The following is a 21,097-nucleotide window of genomic DNA, read 5'->3' as shown; positions in this document are numbered from 1 at the left end:
AGGTTCTGTGTGGGTCATCCCTATATCCCCAGAGCCTAAATCTGTGCTTGGCATACAGAAGGCTTTCAGAAAAATACATGAATGAATGAATGAATGAATGAATGAATGAATGAATGAATGAAAAAATAGTATTTAAAACATAGGGGCTGGGTGCGGTGGCTCACACCTATAATCCTAGCACTTTGGGAGGCCGAGGCAGGCAGATCATGAGGTCAGGAGATTGAGACCATCCTGGCTAACACGGTGAAATCCCGTCTCTACTAAAAAATTCAAAAAAATTAGCTGGGTGTGGTGGTGGGAGCCTGTAGTCCCAGCTATTTGGGAGGCTGAGGCAAGAGAATGGCGTGAACCCAGGAGGCAGAGCTTGCAGTGAGCCGAGATCGCGCCACTGCACTCCAGCCTGGGTGACAGAGCGAGACCCAGTCTCAAAAAACAAAACAAAAAAACATAGGAAAGACTCAACTGATTCTTGCTGGGTGAATTAACAAATGAAAAGTATTTATAGCAAGACTTCACACATAAGAGGTCAAGCACTAGATGAATGAATGAATAAATACCACTTAGAAGTGGCAGGCACATGGGAAGCACTCTAGAAATACTTGTTGAATGAATGAAATAAAGCATTTACAGCAGTAGCAATACATGGTAAGCCTTCAATAAATTTTAACATTTACTATTCCAATGTCAAAATTCTATCATCAAGGGGTACTCCTCTCCCTCACACTCACAAAGGATAAAAGAAGCTCCCAAGTTGGTGCTGAGAGTAGGGAGGGGGGGGAAATGTAGAATGGATAGGAGCAGGAGGCCCATCCCTGAGAACCTGGGAAGGGATGTCCAGGAGGTCCCAGGACAGGCCCTGGGAAAGAAAGGGCCCTGAGTGGGCTCACAATCTCTTTCTTGCATTTCCATCCTGAGGCTTCCAGAATTCTTGTCCATTCTGATTGTGGAGCTCTGAATATTTGGGGATTAACAGTATGATCTGCTATTCCCAGATGCAACATTTCCTTACCATCAAACAGTCCCCTTCCAAGTACAGCTTAAGGAGCACAGGAAATGGAGGTAACTACCACAATGGAAAATTTCTATTTTGTCCTTGATCTTTGTGAAGTCAATGCCATCCTTCAAGACATTACATTTTCAACCCTGAAACTGTGAAACTGGGACGCTTGAGTTTCTAAAAAGTATTAAAACTGCTTCAGAGATCTATCAGCTGCTTGCTTTTCAGTGTGAATTAATTTCCTCGGCCTTCTCCTCCAAACCCCTTATTGATACCAGCCTTAACTCAAGAGGGAGGGTTTTGCTTGGGATGGGAGAAAGATTGAGGGAGAAATTTTATTGTCAAGTTACCAGGGTAAAGAACAGTGAAGGCCTTTTTGTGAATACATGGGCCTCAGCATGATAACAGTTAAGTTGGTTGGAGGGTGGAAGTTCAGGGTTAAGGGTGAGATCAAATGTAAATTTCTTCCAAATGAAAGCCAGGCAGTCTCCATATTGACTGCAATCATTGTGTGAGGCTGAGCAACTCAACTCTCACAACCCTCTTCCAGGGCAAGGTTTTGATGCTAATTCGGCTGGGCAACTGGGACCCAAGGGAAACCTCCCTGCAAACGTTCCTCTCAACTTCTTTTTTCTTTTCGCTCCTTTGAAGGATCTCAGCTTACAAGGCTATGTCAACACTTGAGCAATCCCAATGAAGTGTATGAGTGTCCAGTACTCTGAGGTCCAGAGTTGGCATCGATTCCATGAATGCAATGGCCTGGCAGGCATTTGTCCTCCTCCTTCTTCCTTGCATGGAAATTTTTTGAATTTTGTGGGTTTGACACATTAACTTTGCAAATGTTGACTCTTATCTATAAGTAGCACTGCTGCCTCCTTGCCTAGAATTTGCAGCCACAGGGATGAGTTAGGAAGCATTTGCTTTCCTCGCAAAGACCAGGGCCTAGGTCTTTCCCAGGGAGCTGCATGAGTAAAATTACAGGAACCAAGTTTTAAGAAAACTCACCAAGGAAAACTTGTAGGTTAATAAATTAGAGGGGGCTTATTTCTAATATTTGTTTGTAGATTATCAATTACTCAATGGATAATCTGTAAGATCAGAGAAATTTAAAGCAAAAATTATAAACTTCCAGGGCTGCTTAGAGATCTGTGATTCATATTTGGGATCCCAGATCTGTCCCTGTTTGGAATCTCAGGAAACTTAAAGTCACTGATGTGCATCATCGATGTCCAGTCCTTCTGTCTTTTCTGCAATGTTCCAGCATCTTATCCTTAAGCTACTTGCCTTAGGAACGAACCGACACCACTGAGATGACCAGTCCATCCTGGGTTAACTTTACCTCTCAGAAAATTCTTTATAATTGGCAATAACCAATAACTCCAATTGATAATAAATTCAATTAAAAAAATTAAATATGATTTGTGAAATGACAGTAGGGATAGCCCTAACTACACCCTAGTTTGGTTCCTGCAAATCCATGGAAGTCACTGCTTATAAAAGTGAAATCCCATGGCTATGAAAGTCACCACCAACCCTCCTTTATACACTGCGCGCCTTTCCAACAGGCAGGGCAATTTGACTTTGTGAGCAATGCTACTATTAACAGCTACCGATGACACAGTGCTTACCACGAGATGGGCATTGTGTGTGTGCTGGCACCTAAGTGGATCCCCTCATTCCCACAGCAGCCCTGTGAATAGGATGGTGTTTTCTCCACTTTGCAGATGAGAAAACTGAGAGGTTAGGGTGGTGGTATGAGTCAGTCACAGAGCTGACAACTGACCCCTGGCAGGTTTCTTTTCCAAGCTCCTGCTTTCCCCACGATGTCTTCTCTCAGGTGAACCCTCTCTCTAGGCACTCCCTGTGGGTCCAATGGCAGCAGTCAAAGAAGAGTGCTGGGGCCAACCATGGGGCCACCCAAAGGAGCCAGTTCAGCATCATTCCCTTCTAATGTCCCCTCAGCTTAATGGAAATGCAACTCCAACTGTCAATTCCTAAAAGGGATTTCAGGAAGGTACTAATAGTCAATGACATTTCTGGATTCCCTTAAAATCTGTGATGCATTTATCTTTTATATAACAATAACTTACATAATCACAGAATCCCAGAATTTCAGAGTTGGTTAGGACTTTGCACATCATCTAATTCAGGCTTCTTCCTGATGTATCTGTTGGGAATAATTTCATAAAGAGGGAACTGAAAGTTCTTTTTTTTTTAAGAAGTGAATAAATGTGAGTGGCAGGCCTAGAATAGTTGCTTTGCTCTGCAGCCCTTTTGGGAAAAATAAGAGAACCTGAAGTGAAGTCCTTGGCTTTAAAGGTTTGAAGGGTGGAAGACAAACACTAGAGCCAAATCAGAGCGTTCTACTGGCCTCCCGTGTTCTCTGGCTCAGTGTACTCATGGTCCAACTACTGCTATGTAGAGAAATATCCCTGTGATATAGATTTCTATTAGCTACCTGGGACTAAGAAGGCAACTAACCATTTCCCAACCTTTTTCTAGAAGCCGTAGAGGACGAAAAAGGTGGAAAGTCTCTAATATATGAGGCTGATATTTTCAAGAACCCAAACTGTTGGTCTGTTCTCCCATACATGGAGCTGCTGTCTGCCCTCATAGCTTAGTTACTATCTCTAGGCTCCAATTTTCTTATCTTCAAAGGGAGAATATCAAATGTACCTAACTCCTAGGATTCCCATGAGGATTAAATAAGAAAGCCTTAGTAATCTGCTGAGAAAAGGCCCTAGCAGAGGTTAGCACTCAACTAAATAATGCCTATTGTCATTCTTATCACTCTATGGCTGGTGAAAGAGACAGATTAGGGACCATTTCTGCATAAAAATGCTTTATATTTGCATTTTGATTGGTCTTTTAAATTTTCTTTAACCATCTATCAGTGTCCGTTTTCTTCCAATTCATGCCATGAGTATTTAAGGCTTTTGTTGAAACTGAACTGTTTGTAGATGTGTCTCCAGACCAATATGGGAGGTAGCGAATGGGAAAATATAAACAAAGGAATCGAGGAATTTTTGCCTTGTTTCCCAGATACATAAACTCAGAGGGAAAAAAATCTTCACTGCCTTATTCTAGGAGGAAACTCTTAGAAAGTCCCTGGTTAGTTTTATCAATAATCAGTCATTGATTGAGAATTTAATGTGCTTAATCACTGTGTACATTATCTCATCCAATCCTCACAACTGTTAGTTGAGATAGATTAGTTTGTCCCATTCTCTGGATGGCTTTCCCAAGATCACTTACTTGGCATGTAGCACAGACAGGCTCTGAGCCTATTTTTATCTCACCCCAAGGCCCAGGCTCCCAACCACCACGCTATACATGTTTACAAAAAAGCCAGTGGATCTATGTCCTGTCTTAAGGCTCAGCCCAATGAAACTGAGAAAGAAAATAGGAGTGCATCATTGTGTTATTTTCAGAATACCTACTCTGGCAAATTTAGGGATCTCTAAAGGAGGTCAGAAGGACTGGGTAATCTCTGATAAATCTCTTTAAGAGCAGGGCTTTGATAAAGTAGCGTTGCAACACAATTGCTCTAACGGGCCCAACTGGGTAGTTTCTGGGAGCAGTTTCTAACGGGGGACTCACTGAGAGGCAGCTGAAATGGCTTATACGTAGCCTCCAAGGTTACCCATTGCCAAGAATGCCTCTGTCCTGTCATCTCCCCAGCATGTAGGGCCAACCGCGGCCCACAGCCCTGATCTCCCTCAATCCTTCAAATCACTCCAAATAAAAATGATAAAAATAACATTTTATAGGAGCAAGTAATATTTAATCTTACATTTAGAGTAAATAAGTCTTGAAAAATATTATTGAAAATGGTATCAAACATTAGGTTTTTTATTTCAATGTTCCTTTTAGATTCAGAGGGTTTATGTGCAGGTGTGTTACATGGGTATATTGTGTGATTCTGAGGTTTGGGGTAGGAATGATCCTGTCACCCAGGTACTGAGCATGGTACCCAGTAGGTAGTTTTTCAGCCCTTGCCTCTCTCCCTCCCTCCCCTCTCTAGTAGTCACCAGTGTCTATTGTTCCTATATGTGCTCAATGTTTAGCTCCCACTTATAAGTGAGAACATGTAGTATTAGGTTTTCTGTTCCTGCATTAATGCACTTAGGATAATGGCCCCCAGCTGCATCCACATTCCAGCAGAGGATATAATTTCATTCTTTTTCATGACTGCATAGTATTCCACAGTGTGTATATATATTTTCTGTATCCAATCCACCACTGATGGGCACCTAGGCTGATTCCATAACTTTGCTATACAAGTTTTTAAGAGGCTGCTTGCTTTGCAAACTCAGCTTTAAGACAGACCCCTGGCCCATCCCCCAAGTCAATGCTATATAGAAATCCTAGAACTGAGACAAGATGAAAAACGTGAAGAACAGAAAGCTTTGCTTGGTGTCTTAAGAATATGGGGCAGCCAGGAGTGGTGGGTCACACCTGTAATCCCAGCAATTTGGGATGCTGAGGCAGATGGATCAAGAGGTCAGGAGTTCCTGACCAGGCTGACCAACATGGTGAAACTCCATCTCTACTAAAAGTACAAAAATTAGCTGGGTGTGTTGGCATGTCCCTCTAATACCAACTACTCAGGAGGCTGAGGCAGGAGCAGGAGAATGGCTTGAACCTGGGAGGTGGAGGTTGCAGTGAGCTGAGATCAAGCCATTGCACTCCAGCCTGGGTGACAGAGCAAGACTCCATATCAAAAAAAAAAAAAAAAAAAAAAAAAAAAAAAAATATATATATATATATATATATATATATATATATATATATATATATGGCACACCGGGCACCCAAGCAGAGATATGGTCTGCAATGCAAACTAGGGGAAATAAGAGCCTGGCAGCAACTCAGTGTAAATATTGAAAAGACATCTTGAAGTGACAGTGTTTGCTCTGGATGCTCTGTGCTTCCAGTAGGTTCCCCCATGATGTCTTATCTTAGGGTTAACCTCTCTCTAGCCACTCTCCAGGGACCCTGCCGGGTTGAAGGGTTGATTTTCTTCAGTTCTCCAGACCAGCCTTTTAAAAATAAAGACAAGAACTGGATGAACAGAACATTAAGAAAAATGTTTGGGAAGGATGTACATGGATATGGAGTTAGAAATAAGGCCCTGTGTGCTGACGCCAGTGTATTTTCTAGATTGCACTTCTAGTCTTTTATATGGATGTTTGACTCTGCTGTGTTCTCTCCCCTCTCCCTTCTCATGTGGAGGGAGAGGATAATCTCTGAATTGACCTTACCTAGGTATGGCTCTTGTTGAATCCAAGGGGAGAGTCAGCCATGAGTGGCACAGCCCAAGGCAGGACGAGTGAGAACCAGGAGACATATAACTTGTCTACAGACCCGGTGCTCAGGGGAGGAGATCCCAGTGATCAGAGCCTGCATTCAGGTCTTACAGGTTGGTAACTCATCTCTTTCAACGGGAGAAGTGTAAATACTACAGGGCAATAGATTATCTATAAGTCTTTTAATTCCAGAAATCTAAATGAGGCCATTAAAGGCGTTCAGAAGATCCTTGGAAACAAGGTAAGACACTAAAAGAAAGACTGGCTTATAACTTTAAGAGTTGGGAGAATCTGCTGCAATGCACAATATGCAAGTGTTTCTCTAAACAGAGACCAGCGTGCTGTGCTCCATGATATATTGACGTCCGTGGCTGTGATTCATAATGACTACGGATTTGGCTCTTATAGGAATGTCTTCATCCAGTGAAGAAAATAATGTGAGGTTATGGGGACCTCCAGTCACCAACACTAATGTTCCTTAATATTACAGTAGGCCAACAGAAATCAGGGACTAATAAACTCTAGAAAAAGAGTAGCCCTGGTAATCAAGAGTGGCACTAACCAAATTTGGCAAACTCAATGAAGGTGTGTCAGTTTTGGAAACTTCTTTATTCAACGGAATGAGAATACTCCTAATTAATAAACTGGGTTTATTGGATTGGATCTGCAACCTTTTTTTTTTTATTTTTTTTATTTTTTTATTTTTATTTTTTGGAGACAGAGTCTCGCTCTGTCACCAGGCTGGAGTGCAGTGGTGCAATCTTGGCTCACTGCAACCTCTGCCTCCCGGGTTCAAGCGACTCTCCTGACTCAGTCTCCTGAGTAGCTGGGACTACAGGTGCACACCACCATGTCCAGCTAATTTTTGTATTTTTAGTAAAGATGGGGTTTCATCATGTTGGCTGATGGTCTTGATCTCTTGACCTCATGATCGGCCTGCCTCAGCTTCCCAAAATGCTGGGATTACAGGCGTGAGCCACGGCACCCGGCCTCAACCTTTTTCATTGTGGAGACATGCTTTCCAGAGCTGATGTTTAGTGCCATCTTCTGTACATCCCACATTGTGCTGTTGGCACTGAAAAAATATCAGATCCCTGCTTCTATCTGCCTTGCTGGTTCTCCTTGGTGTCCTGCTGCCATACACAGTACAGGGCAATAGGCACTCTTCATAGTAAGCCCAACATACCCTGTGTAATTGCCCCATTTGCCCTTAAGCCCAGGGCACTGATGAGTTAAATTCTAACAATGACATGACATAGGAATTGTTCCCAGTGTCTCCATTAGAGAAGGGTATTGATAGGCATTCATTCAACAGACTTAGACTGGGCACCTACTCTTTCCCAGGGACACTGGCATATCCCAAGGATGCTATTCCTCAGGATGTCTACATAAGAAACGTAAAACATTTCTTATCCTCAAGAATCTCACATGTGAGTCGAGAAGACAAATAGCTAATGATTGCTGTGCTACAAACGGTGTGTTGTGGTAGAGCCCTGGATGCATGGGGGACACAGGAACAGCAGCTCAATCTGACTGAAAGGCAGAAAAAGGCCTCTAGAAGGGAGATGACTCCAGAGCTGAGTGGGAAACGCAGTTACAACATAACAATGACTTATTGTTACATCAGCTGGGTTAGGGCACAAGAGAAAGTTCCGAGCACAGAGAACTGCATATGTGAAGGTGTGGCCTCATGAAACCACAGCACACTGTTAGGAGCTACCAGCCTGTCACAAGTGGGTGTGAAGGTTGCCTAGAGGAGACTACCAGGAGATAACACTGAAGGGGTGGATTAGGAAAGCCCTTGTGCACCATCTTGAACTTTACCTTGAATGCAATGGAGAGCTGTGAAAGGGCTTTAAGCAAGGCCCAGGCCTCACTGAATCTGTGGTTTAGAAAGAACTCTCTGGTTACAAGATGGAGCATGGATGCAAGCGAGGTGAGAATAGACAAGAGGGACAAAATAGTGACTAAAGGGTCAAAGTCTTTGCTTCATGCACTTCTTTGATCAGCGCCCCTGTGAACTGGCACTTGATACCATGGCAGTGAGCACTGTCCAAGTCTTTTGACAACATTTAGCCCCTCAACCCAAGAGCTCTGAAACCCCAGCATGTTTCCAAATGTCTTTATTTTACCCTCACCTTTGATTATGTTTATTCCATCTCCACATTGGATGTGTCAACAAAAAGAGCCAAACTCTGTAAAATATCTGAAGAAATTTATTCTGAGACCAATATGAGTGACCAATGGCCTGTGACACAGCCCTCAGGAGATCCTGAGAACGTGTGCCAAAAGTGGCCGGGCCACAACTTTTTTTTTTTTTGAGATGGAGTCTTGCTCTGTCACCTGGGTTGGAGAGCAATGGTGTGATCTCAGCTCACTGTAGCCTCCACCTCCCAGGTTCAAGCTATTCTGCTGCCTCAGCCTCCCGAGTAGCTGGGATTACAGGTGCCTGCCACTACACCTGGCTAATTTTTGTATTTTTAGTAGAGGCAGAGTTTTGCCACGTTGGCCAGGCTAGTCTCAAACTCCAAACTTCAGGTGATCCACCAGTCTCGGCCTCCCAAAGTACTGGGATTACAGGCATGAGCCACAGCACCTGGCCCCACAACTTGGTTTTATACAACTTAAGGAGACATAAGACATCAATCAATATATGTAAGACATACACTTCAAGGAAACTTTGCATTCATAGTAAGCTTTGCTGATGAGCAGTGGTTCTCAAACTACAGTGTGTACTTGGGGGTCTTGCCAAACTAAATCTCAGGCTGCCACCCTCAGTGTTTCAGATTCAGTCAGTCTGGAGCAGGGGGCAAGAACGTTCATGTTTAACAAGGTCCCAGGTGATGATAATACTAAAGATCAGAAAACCACTCAACCAGAACCATTGCTCTGACCAGCGGAATTCTTAAGGACTTCCTGAGAACAATATCTTCCGGTACTTCTCCTTGGGCTGGTCAGATTCCTCAAAGGCCGCTCTCGCAATCTCATGCTTAGGGTCTAGGCCTGGCTGCCAGTATTTTGGTAAACTAAGAGGGCTTGTAGGTCTTATCATTAAATATGTAAATGTCCATTTGATCACCCTGTTATGGTATCTTTGCCATCAGCTAATTCTACAGTCTCCCCAGTCCAGAGAAACTCTGCTTCAACCTCTCCAGAGACTAGAAACCTCTCAACTCATGTCAGTGTGGATGATGGGCAGGGCCTCAGCTGTGCAGGATGAAGGAGAAAACGGAAGACAAATGCTTCCTAAGCAGACTCCCAGCTGAGTTTTTATAGCCCCACCTTTGCTGCAATTCCTGGAACCATCAATTCCTGAGTATTTGGGGTGTTCTGCAGTGTAATAAGTTTGCTTTTCACCTCCCACTCTACCAGCTGAGAAGAAGTCTGCATTTTTGGATCTGCAAAGTCAGCTGAATGTGTCCTCCTCCCTCCAGCTTCCAGGACTGTGTTGTTCTTGTCTCCTCCATCATTTTCTTTGTCCTTGTGGGCGTATGCTCTGTTTAAGCCCCATTGCTGTTATTTTTGTTGGCTTTCAAGAGGAAAAGGAGATAAATGAAAGTAGTCAATCTTGTCTTTACCCAAAGTCCTTCACAGGATTTTACCCAAAAGTCCTCTAAAAAGATTTGGTTGAGTACTAGTTGCTGATAATGCTGAGCTGCTTGTGTTTGTAAAGACAGATGTGGCCTCATTGTGACTATTTCAGGTTTATGGGTCATGTTTTTTCTTTCTGTTCTAAAGAAAGCTTCCTATTTCAAAATAATTTTCTTTAAAAAAAAAAAACAGCACATCCCCAGTCATGACCCCCAGAATAAAATATGGAGACTCTCCCTTTTCTGACTTCTCAGATGTATATTAATTAGAAAGTACCCTCAAGAAACAGTGGAGCTCTAAATCGGATTCATTTCTATATTCAGTGTAACATAATCAAGTTGTCAGAATTTTTACAATGCTTCTAATGAAGTGCCCAGCATAATGAATTGTACAATTATAATAAAATGGGGTTCTAATTAACAATTACCATTCAAAGCAAGAACACTCCAGGTTTTTTTTATCCTCCTCTCAAACTGGAGGCTAACAAGTAGTTAGGAAAAAAATTAACAGGGGGTATGTGTGGAAAGGAGCACAGTACTCGAAATGACTAACAAAGCTAGTTTTTCCTCTAAGTTTGTAAGTGACAGTATAACTTGAGAGAATATATTCTCAGGTATGGTTGCAGGAACTTTTCTGATCATCTGAGCTTTCCCAGATATGATATGGTGGTGTATAAACTTGGGTGTTTAAGCACGAATTAATGACTTACTAACAATAGCTTTCAATTGAGTCTCATCCAAGGAGTCATATCCTTCCCTTCTGTCCTGTGAATTCATGGTATCAAGTGACAATAAGAGGGTAAATGGACCAGAGGTTCTTTGCTGCCATCAAGGGTCTGAGGGAGAAAAAGTCTACGAATCACTGTAGTCATTAAAATAAAAGCTGCTGGCCAGGTGCAGTGGCTCACGCCTGTAATTCCAGCACCTTGGAAGGCTGAGGCTGGCAGATCACTAGAGTTCAGGACTTAGAGACCAGCCTGGGCAAGAGGGTAAAACCCCATCTCTGCAAAAAAAATACAAAAATTAGCCGGTTTTGGTGGTGTGTGCCTGTAGTCTCAGCTACTTCTGGGGGCCGAGGCCGGAGAATCAATTCAGCCCGGGAGGTTGAGGCTGCAGATCACGCCACTACACTCCAGCCTGGGTGACAAAGTGAGACCCTGTCTCAAAAAACAAAGAAAAATACATAAATAAAATAAAATAAAATAAAAGCTGCCCTTTCCTGAAAGGACCAGTAAGCATTATGCTAGATAATTCAGCGTGCATTATTTAGTATTTTCACAACCCGCGAGGTGTATATTTTACAGATGAGAAAAGCTAAAGCTTAAAGATGCTCAGAGGTCAAAGTCATAACCAAAAAGAACCCGAGCCTGGTGTGGCGAGCTCCAAACTCTAGCTGGCCCTCTAGAGAAAACACTGTCTCAGCTTGATTCTGGCTTTGGCGCTGATCCATTTTGCAGCCTGCAGCAAGCCATTTGCTCACTGCTTTCTGGAACCTGCTTTGTGAAACTCCGGGGGGCACCGGTGATGATCTATCCTAGAGTTTTATAATGCGAGAGCTCTGCTTTCACCATCTGCTTTTCTCATTGGGATGCAAAAAAATGGTGAAAATTACCATTGTGGTTGGTTATGATGTTTCTGTTTCAAGTAACGAAACTCCCAACTGGACAGTTTATAAAAGGAGAGAGAGAAAGAGAGAGAGAGAAAGAGAGAGAAAGAGAGAGAAAGAGAGAGAAAGAGAAAGAGAGAGAAAGAGAAAGAGAGAGAAAGAGAAAGAGAGAGAAAGAGAAAGAGAGCAAGAGAGAGAGAAAAAGAGAGCAAGAGAGAGAGAGAGAAAGAGAGAGCAAGAGAGAGAGAAAGAGAGAGAAAGAGAGAGAAAGAGAGAGAAAGAGAGAGAAAGAGAGAGAAAGAGAGAGAAAGAGAGAAAGAGAGAGAAAGAGAGAAAAATGGAGAAAAAGAGAGAAAGAAAAAGAAAAAGAGAGAGAAAGAGAGAGAGAGAAAGAAAGAAAGAGAGAAAGAGAGACAGAGAGGGAGAAAAAGAGAGAAAGAGAAAGAGAAACAAAGAGAAAGAAAGAAAGAGAGAAAGAGAAAGAGAAAGAAAAAGAGAGAGAGAGAAAGAGAAAGAGAGACAATGAGGATGAAGACCTTTATGATAATCCATTTCCACTTAATAAATAGTAAATCCATTGTCTCTTCCTTATGATTTCCTAAACATTTTCTTTTCTCTAGCTTACTTTATTGTAAGAATATAGTATATAATACAGTAACATACAAAGTGTGTGTTCATCAACTGTTTATATTATCAGTAAGGCTTCCAGTCAGTGGCAGTTTATAACAAATGGTTGTTTCTGATATTCGTTGGCAGCCTTTAGTCCTTTTTTATTTTTTATTTTTTGAGACAGGATCTTACTCTGTTGCCCAGGCTGGAGTGCCAGGAGGTTCTGGTGTAGCCCAGATCACTGCGTGAGCAGTGGCCTGTTGGGGACCATCTTGGAAATGTTACCTTGATTTTGAAGAGCAGTAATGCAAACATTTGTTCCTCTTTTTCCATTGGTTGTTATTGTGTCAGGATATGGTGCCTAGAACCATAGTGGCCACCTTGCAGCCCTGGAGGGCCCAGTGGAAGCAATGCTAGTACCTTGAAGGTGACAGGGCAGGAAGACAGGAGCCCAGGGTCCCGATGACATTGTGAAGTCACTGATGTAACCAGACCCAGAGTTGGGCTACACCAGAACGTCATTTGCAGGATCAGACCCAGAGTTGGGCTACTCACGCCCAAGTGACCAGGATGAGATCACCCCAAACTCATTGCTGACAAGGGGCACGGGGTGGTCATGATAAGATTAGACTAATTTGCGTTTGCTCCTGAGTCAGGTTAGAAAAAAGTGAACATCTGGACAAAATGAGGACTCTTGACTGTAAGGAGGAAGGAAAGAAGTGGCCACTGGGTGGAGAACCAAGTGTAACTTCATCCAAGTGAAGTGTGAAAACTTCTCTGAAAAAAGATCATATAAAATCTGGATTCTCATGTTGCCGTATTTTCTACTGTCCTCCGGACTGGGGGTGTGGGGAAGAAAAGCATTGGTTTGGGACCTTAGTTGAGGAGGCACAGAAGAAACTAAAATAGCTTCATCTATGTTAGGACTTAAGCTAAATTTCCATGTATTTAGACAAATACTGTAACAAATGCATTTAACTCTCAATACTATAAAGCAGCAGAAGGATTGAGAATCCATGAATAAATGGATATTTACCTTTTGGTTATAGTTTAAGATACAGGCTATTATTAGCTGATCAGTAACAAGCTAAGGTTAGAATTCAAAGGTGCCAATGACAACATTCACAAGGGGTTTCTGCACATCCCTGCAATCTAATTTCAGTATTTTGGGCTATACTGTGGAGTTGTCATGTTGCTCTGGTTCTCCCAGTGGTATTTGGAAAGAGTTCTCTGCGAGGCTGACATATACAACCTGCATCTCTTCTTACAGATCATTTGTGCTGTCAGCATGCAGTTTTTCCAGTTCAGTAAAGTAGGTCATATAGGAATATTGGATTCATCTGTGCCACTCTTGAAGCCTTTGAAGATTAATGAGTTTCTGCAATGCATGCAAAGTGTTTTAAATTCTTGGAAGACAAGATTTGCCTGTTATGAAACAGCAACATCCCCAATTATCAGCCATTAAGCTTCCCACCAACCTCAGCCAACAATCAAATGCATGGAAAAGAAAATCTCTTTTTAAAACATAAATCTGATGATGTCACTACCTATTCAAAAAGCTTTCATGGTGTCACATTGCCTGCAGGAGGGAATCCAAGCTGTTTTTAAAAACACTCAAGATTCCCTTGGTTGGGAATCTGACCCCTCTTTGTCCTCCATTCCTGTTTCCTCCAGTCTTACCAAGTCCTTCACTATTTCTGCCTGGTATGAACTGCTGACATCTGTGCCTTTGTCTAACTGCAGTACTTTATGTCCACCATTTAAATATCTATTAATGCATTAACACCCTGATCAAACCCAGTTCCTCTAGCAACCTCCCTGTGTCTGCTATCCCCTATTGATTAATCAGAATTAATCAATCTCATCTCTGCGGGCTCCCATCTTTGTTTCTGCCTCTCTAACAATTTTTTACAGTTGGTCCTCCTAATAATAAACATACTTTTGCATCTGCTGATCTTTCTGGGCCACTAAATGAAGAGCTTCCTAGGATGGAAACCAGCTATATCTCCAGCAATCTGGTTTCCTCTTCCTGGACACACAGGGAGACATCACTTCCTAGTCTTCCTCGAGGTTAGTTGGAGGCTGTGTGTTTGGGTTCTGACTGATGTGATGGGGTAGAAGTGATTGTAACCATCTTCCAGGATTGGCCTTTTAAAATATCTCAAATGAGCCTCCAGTCCTCTCTTCACCCAATGTAGATAGAGGCCAGCGTCACAAGATGAAAGGAGACAGGATTCCTGATTAATTACACTTAACCTTGAACAACACGGGGTTGAACTGCTGCAACCACAATATTTTTTCAGTAAAAGTTACAACACGGAGTGTGCCTGTCTCTCCTGCCTCCCCTTCCACTTCCTCCAACTCTTCCACTGCTGTCACCCCTGGCACAGCAGAAGCAACCCCTCTTCTTCCTCCTCTCCAGCCTACTCATGCAAAGACAATGCCCAGCAGTTGTCAGCTGTCCAGCAAGGGTCCATGAGAGCATCCAAATACGGCAAGGTGTTTCTTTGATGTTTCTCAGTCTCAGCATTGGGCTTTTGTTTCTATGAATGTTTTTCTACCAAATAAGATGTTTCTATCACTAAGTCCTATGGTATTATTTAAGTTACACAAACAGCAATTTTGAACGAAAGCAGATTTGGACGGCTGGGACCTATTTGGATGTGTGATGCCAATGAGCTGTATAATCTAGCTCTTTGTTCAGTCAGTGCTGAAATGTGACATCCCTGGGCTGTGATTAGACTCCCTAGTCATTCAGACGGCTGTTCAGAAATTCTCCCCACTTCCTCGTGGAGATGGGCATCTGAAGGATACGTTTCCCCATGCTTCTTGAATATGAAGTAACAACATTTAAACATCTTTCATTCAATCACCATTTAGCTATCAAGGTCATGAAACAGCATGAAATGAAGCACTCAGTCAATTATCTAAAGATAGGCTTTTTAAGCAGTGACCACTGTCCCTGTCATAATTACATCTCTAACAGGAAGGGGAGAAACCCCACCTGGTTTCCTTTTGCCAAACACAAAGTTGCTCCTGTGGGTTCTGGATCTAGAAGTGGAGAGTTTTACTAAGTCAAAGAGGCTGCTTGGGGGTACCAACTCCCGGCCAGAAGGCTGGCAGGTGACCAGGACAGTCACTGCTCTGGTCCCATGGGGATGGCTGCCCTGTCTCCCTTTGCTCAGGGGGATTGGTCTGGGGACACGTTTGCTAATGAACCTGCCTTGTTAACTCTTTTGTCCCTTGAATCACAATCCAGAAGCTGCTTGTGATCTTGGTCCAGTCCAGGGGGAAATCAGTCCCGTTCTATCAACAACCACCAGGCACAATGATCAGACATCAATTACTTGGCTGAGTGAGGACAAAATAATTGAATTGGAACGTGTTGCACGTGCAATTTCTCTAACTTTGGGCTGACACTTATCTAGCCCTGGAGCAGTGAGCAATTTTCCTGTGAACAGTTGCTAATTAGAGAGGGTGTGTTTTCTTTAATGGATTCATAATTCATCCTATTATACTTTAAAACAATGTTTTAAAGTTTGTTACCTCAGGACAGAAATGGTAAACTGAAGGAGATAGTGGCAAAGGTCAGGCATTGGATTTTTAGAATGCAGGATTTTTGTTTGTTTTTGGTTTTTTGAAACGGAGCCTCGCTCTGTCGCCCAGGCTGGAGTGCAGTGGCGCGATCTCCGCTCACTGCAAGCTCTGCCTCCCACCTCTCGCCTCTCCTGCTCCAGCCTCCCAAGTAGTTGGGACTACAGGCGCCCACCACCATACCCGGCTAATTTTTTTGTACTTTTTTAGTAGAGACCGGGTTTCACCGTATTAGCCAGGATGGTCTCGATCTCCTGACCTTGTGATCTGCCCACCTCCCCAAGTGCTGCAATTACGGGCGTGAGCCACAACGCCCGGCCAGAAAGTAGGATTTTTCAAATGCCATTAGTCTAAAAAGCTTCGAGATACTTCACAGTGATGTTTCAGGAGATCTTACCATCTGTGTATGTCTCAGTTGTGGTGAATTACTTAGCAATGCTTTTAGGAGGCAGAATCAGACATCATGCTCCTTCCTTCCTCCCTCTCCCCCTTCCCCCCTCTCCCCCTTCCCCCTCCCCCTCCCTCTCTTTGCCAACAGGGTCTTGCTCTGTCACCCAGGAGGTAGTGCAGTGGCACAATCTTGGCTCACTGCAACCTCTGCTTCCCAGGTTCATGCAATCCCAAGTAGCTGTGATTGTGGGGTTTCACAGTGTTGGCCAGTTTGGTCTCAAAGTCCTGACCTCAAATGATCCACCTGCCTCAGCCTCCCAAAGTGCTAGGATTAACAGGTGTGAGCCACCGTGCCCAGCCCCAGCCTGTTTTTATATTTTCTGCATGCTGTGTAATGACTCATCGCCCTCCTCTTCCTCCAGTGAAGGTGAGAGATGATGCAGTGGGTCCCCATCAGTGTTGGATATGATTCCTCAGGTGAGTTCTGACTTAGCTTGTGACTCCACCAATGACCACAGCTGAGCCTCTACTCAGACGGGCCTTCTCTGTCCTTCAGCCTAAAGAACCAACCTCACCTCATCATTTTCCATCAAGCTGCTATGATTTGCTTTCTTAATAGCACCTGTGGCCACCTGGAATGGTTTTGTGCATTTATTTTCTATCTTCTCTACAAAGATGGGAGAAAGAAGGGGCTGGGCTGACTGTCCAGGGCTCTATCTTCAGCACTCAGAACAGTACTAGGCCACAGCCAAGCCTAACATATTTCTTGGGTGAATACTGTGAGTGGGATCAGAACACAGGAGGGGCTGAAGAACAGATGAATTGGGTCTTCTTCCTGGCTCTCCATTAACTAGCAGTATCCACTTGGAAACCCTGCTTTAGTTTTTCTCCTCGCCTAGACTTAGATAATAATGGAGACTCCTTCAAGGTCTAAGTTCTATAACTAGCAGAGGAAAAGGCTTAACTAAGAGAAGAAATTGCTGCTGAACCTTCATTCATAAGCAGACCAGAGCAACTATTAGGCCCTGTAATGCTTCACGAATCAAAGTATTATATTCCTTTCTTACAGTTTTTTATTTTACATATATACATTTTGAGACAGGGTCTCACTCTGTCACCCGGGATGGAGTGCAGTGGTACGATCTTGGCTCACTGCAGCCTTGACGTCCCCAGGCTCCCATCTCAGCCTCTGGAGTACCTGGGGCTACAGGTGCAGGCCACAATGCCCAGCTAAAATTTTGGTATTTTTTAGATACGGGATTTTGCCATGTTGCTCATGCTGGTCTTGAACTCCTTGGCTCAAGCCATTTTCCTGCCTCGGCCTCCCAAAGTGCTGGGATTACAGATGTGAGCCACAGAGTTTTGGGTCGTAAATGAGCTGCCAAGGGAGGGGTTTTTCCCGAGTCCTCACCTCCTCGCTTGTCTGCTCTGGGTGGCCTAGGGATACGCTTGTCTTGTGGAGGCGCGAGCACTGTGGGCTCAAGAGTGGGGAGCCTCTTTCCCTGGTAAGGGGAGAGCACCAGTGGGATCACTGGTGCCATCTCCTGCAATGGATCTTCTGATGTTGGGTTGAACAGAACTTCAGGAGTTGATTTCCCTGGGCGAGTGGAGCAGGATCCTTCCTTAGCTATCTGTCCCTTTGCTACTAGCATTGCTGCTCCCTGCCCTCTTAGCCACTGTGGGGGGTCTAGCACCAGCTGTAACGAAGAGTCTATGTATGGGAACTAGTCTAAGTATCCTTTACCAGTTACCTTGTGCCACTCCTTAGAAGTAAGGGGCCTGTCCAGGCTTCCTTCTGATGGCCAACCCACTTCTAATGTTGGCCAATCGATTTCACACAAAGCTCTAAGTTTCCCTGCTGTCATAGTAACCCCATAGTCTCCACTAAATCCTTCCTTGAAATTTTTCAACATAGCTCCTAGCGGAGTAGGCTTACTTTGTATCTGACCCATGTTTCCTGGAGACAAAACACCACGCTCACACCACACGCACACCACAGAACAAAGAACGGGTAAAAAGGGCACACACACTCTTTTTCATTTTACACCAGACCAGAATCAAAACTAAAATCGGAGTATCCAGAAATCCAAGCCAGGTCAAAACCAAAACCAAAGTATCAAGCAATTCAAGTCAAGTCAAAAACAAGAACCAAAGTGCTGGTAGAGGCACGCCGTGGGTGATCAGGCCACGCTTCCACTCAGATGGAGTGGGCAAGTTCCAAACACCAGTCTTACCAAGTTTCAGACGTCCAGACTTCTAGTGCCAGTTCCTTCCCGGTGTTCAGCCACCACGTTGATCCTCCGCGGGGGCCTGCCACACACTGCTCTGACGAGGTGTTCCACCAGGGCAATTGCCTACCCGGGAGCGCTCTCAGGATGCCCGTCGCTCAAGCTGGCCAGAGTCCCTTGCAGGGACGCTCCACAGGGCAGGCCTAAGCAGCCTAAGGGGCTGCCTCGACCGTCCTTCAATCACCTCGCTTCCCGGTCACGGAACCAAGAAATGTAGCAGGACGAGTCGCAAACAAAACTCCTCAGACACCGGATTAAAGAAGGAAGAGGTTTTTGTAACCAAGAAATGTAGCAGGACGAGTCGCAGACAAAACTCCTCGGACACCGGATTAAAGAAGGAAGAGGTTTTTGTAACCAAGAAATGTAGCAGGACGAGTCGCACACAAAACTCCTCGGACACCGGATTAAAGAAGGAAGAGGTTTTTTATTCGGCCAGGAGCGTCGGCAGACACGCGTCTTAAGAGCAGAGCTCCCCGAAGACAGAGTTCCTGGCCCTTTTAAGGGCTTACAACTCTAAGGGGTTCCACGTGAAAGGGTCGTGATGGATTGAGAGCACATGTGGTTAGAGTTGGGGGGTTAATCTTTTAACCTCAGGCCGGGTCATCAGTGGCACCGGCTGGTCTTGCCACTGACTTCATTCCTGTTGTTTTTCAACTTTTACTTCCTCCTCCTCTTCAGAGACAGGAGACAGTAAGAGAAATGGCTTCTCTCCTCAGTAGCACTCAATCAATCATAGCATTTTCTAGATTAGAATGACTCATTTCCCCCAGTGGTGGCTTGTGGTGCGCTTATGAAAGTGAGTTCTGAGTTAGTCCTGTGGCGCCACCAATGAGCACCGCTAAAGAGCACAAAGGCCTTGCTCATTATCTGAGTCTCTCCATCCACAGAGGAATGGGAATCAAAATGCAGGAGTGGCTTGAGAATGGATGAATTGGGCTTTCTTTCTAAGCCTCAGCTTTAGGTGGGAAGCTGAGGTACTGAGCATACTGTGTGACTGTGCCCTGTCACACACCACACGGGGCAGATCCAGATCCAGGACTCTATCCAGGAGCTGTTCTTTCCTTCCTAGCACAGTACTGTAAACTCATCCCCGGGAGAGCTAGCTGGGCTTGTGTCTTCCCTTCTGAGGCCCAGACAATGCTCTTATTCTTTCAGCCAACCAATGTTGGAGTGTCTACTCTCCGAGGTAGTGTCCTCTCTCACAAGGTTTTCCCTTTGTGGCAGAAACATCAAAGAGTACAACTTCAATTGCCCATGCTTCTCTAACTCAAAATGGTTTTGGTCTCCTCTTCTAATTCCTAAACCCAGTAAAACCAGGAACTGTGCTCTGCAACCTCAATTACAAACATACAGGAGTCGGTTAATAAATGTTTAAAAATCTGTGAATGATTACATTGGGATAAGGGACAAGAAGTAGATCTTTTCAAAGAATCAATATGCTATAATCTTAGAAAAGCTGCAATTCAGGTAGGTAACTTGAGACTTCTGTATAAAAGAAAAGACTAGAATATTGTTTTTTGTTTTTTTCTTGTTGTTGTTGTTTGTTTTTTGTAAGTTCATCCCAAAGTTGAGGGCTGGCCAAAGAAGTTTTCAGCTAATTGCCTCTTGCCTAGTTTCAGGATTAAACTGTATTTGATTTGATTATATAAGAAAAAGAAGAGAGACTTTGCCCTGAGTAACAAACTGTGGGTCATCCTTATCTAAAGTGTACAGAGGGGTACTTTTTCATTCCTAAAATAAGGCTGACTCACATACACACACATAAAATATGCCAGCGTGGCATGCGGCCCCATTTTTCCAAATCCTTGGCCTGGGAATGTGGAGCTGACAGCCTGGCCTAGATGCAGAGAAAATCCAGGCTTCCCAGGAACTGAAAAGCAAATCGATCTTGGTTCAACATCTTCAGACATTCAACATTTAAGATTATTCAGCATTTCGGCCAGGCGTGATGGCTCACGTCTGTAATTCCAGCACTTTGGGAGGCCAAGGCAGGCAGATCACAAGGTCAGGAGATCAAGACCATCCTGGCTAACACGGAGAAACCCCATCTCTACTAAAAAGACAAAAAAAAAAAAAAAAGACTATTCAGCATTTCAACTGCCACACACAGCTCCCGGTTGTAATTCGGTCACAATTCTGGTTTTAGCTTTGTCTATACAAAGTTGTCTTCAAGGCTCTAAGGATCCAAAGGATCAAAGACATAAGTTTAGCTTCTGGTTTCCTGCGTAAAACTCTGCAAAGAGCCCTGCTGGCTACCCAAGAACACCTTCACCCTGCCAGGATCTGCGTTGAACCTCATGTGTCCCTGTGGGGACCTCAGGGTCTACTGAGATTGCAAGTTACACCTGGACCTTCTGATAAGCTTGACATGAAAATACAACTTGGATCCAAAGACTAAGGTTTCCAAACTCAAACCAGGACCTATGGTCTGGAATGTAGACTGGTAATGGGTGGGTCCCAGAGTACTAAACACTGTGTTTGTCACTTTGATCACTTACAGGAAACTCTAGTACGTTGGTTTTAGATACTGGTTTAGCATGGACAGATGCGTATGTGAATCCTGACTAGGTCTTCTGTTAACAAATCTTCCTTGAATGGATAACACTTGGGGTAGACAGAATAACACCCCCAACCCCAGCCCCACCAAAGATGCCCACAGCTTAATCCATTGTACCTGTGAATATGCTACCTCAAATGGCAAAAGGGACTTGGCA

The 21,097-nt window shown here is 44.0% G+C and overlaps 6 annotated features.

Moving 5' to 3' along the window:
* Positions 3,617 to 3,911: a silencer, noted in NCBI's record as "tiled region #719; K562 Repressive non-DNase unmatched - State 23:Low". NCBI's record gives its function as "represses a minimal TATA promoter and a strong SV40 promoter by Sharpr-MPRA in K562 cells {active_cell/tissue: K562}" and the evidence as "EXISTENCE:reporter gene assay evidence [ECO:0000049][PMID:27701403]".
* Positions 3,617 to 4,397: a biological region, named in NCBI's record as "Sharpr-MPRA regulatory region 719".
* Positions 3,671 to 4,397: an enhancer, noted in NCBI's record as "OCT4-NANOG-H3K27ac hESC enhancer chr8:9121383-9122109 (GRCh37/hg19 assembly coordinates)". NCBI's record gives its function as "activates a minimal SCP1, AML or CMV promoter by ChIP-STARR-seq in naive and primed H9 embryonic stem cells {active_cell/tissue: H9 hESC(naive and primed)}" and the evidence as "EXISTENCE:reporter gene assay evidence [ECO:0000049][PMID:30033119]".
* Positions 4,398 to 5,125: an enhancer, noted in NCBI's record as "NANOG-H3K27ac hESC enhancer chr8:9120655-9121382 (GRCh37/hg19 assembly coordinates)". NCBI's record gives its function as "activates a minimal SCP1, AML or CMV promoter by ChIP-STARR-seq in naive H9 embryonic stem cells {active_cell/tissue: H9 hESC(naive)}" and the evidence as "EXISTENCE:reporter gene assay evidence [ECO:0000049][PMID:30033119]".
* Positions 11,265 to 11,765: an enhancer, noted in NCBI's record as "H3K27ac hESC enhancer chr8:9114015-9114515 (GRCh37/hg19 assembly coordinates)". NCBI's record gives its function as "activates a minimal SCP1, AML or CMV promoter by ChIP-STARR-seq in naive H9 embryonic stem cells {active_cell/tissue: H9 hESC(naive)}" and the evidence as "EXISTENCE:reporter gene assay evidence [ECO:0000049][PMID:30033119]".
* Positions 18,454 to 18,954: an enhancer, noted in NCBI's record as "H3K4me1 hESC enhancer chr8:9106826-9107326 (GRCh37/hg19 assembly coordinates)". NCBI's record gives its function as "activates a minimal SCP1, AML or CMV promoter by ChIP-STARR-seq in naive H9 embryonic stem cells {active_cell/tissue: H9 hESC(naive)}" and the evidence as "EXISTENCE:reporter gene assay evidence [ECO:0000049][PMID:30033119]".

Source organism: Homo sapiens, chromosome 8 (genome assembly GCF_000001405.40).
Source record: "Homo sapiens chromosome 8, GRCh38.p14 Primary Assembly".
NCBI classification, from domain to species: domain Eukaryota; kingdom Metazoa; phylum Chordata; class Mammalia; order Primates; family Hominidae; genus Homo; species Homo sapiens.
The sequence above is the reverse complement of the archived record's forward strand: the minus strand, read 5'-3'. Positions and strand labels throughout refer to the sequence as shown.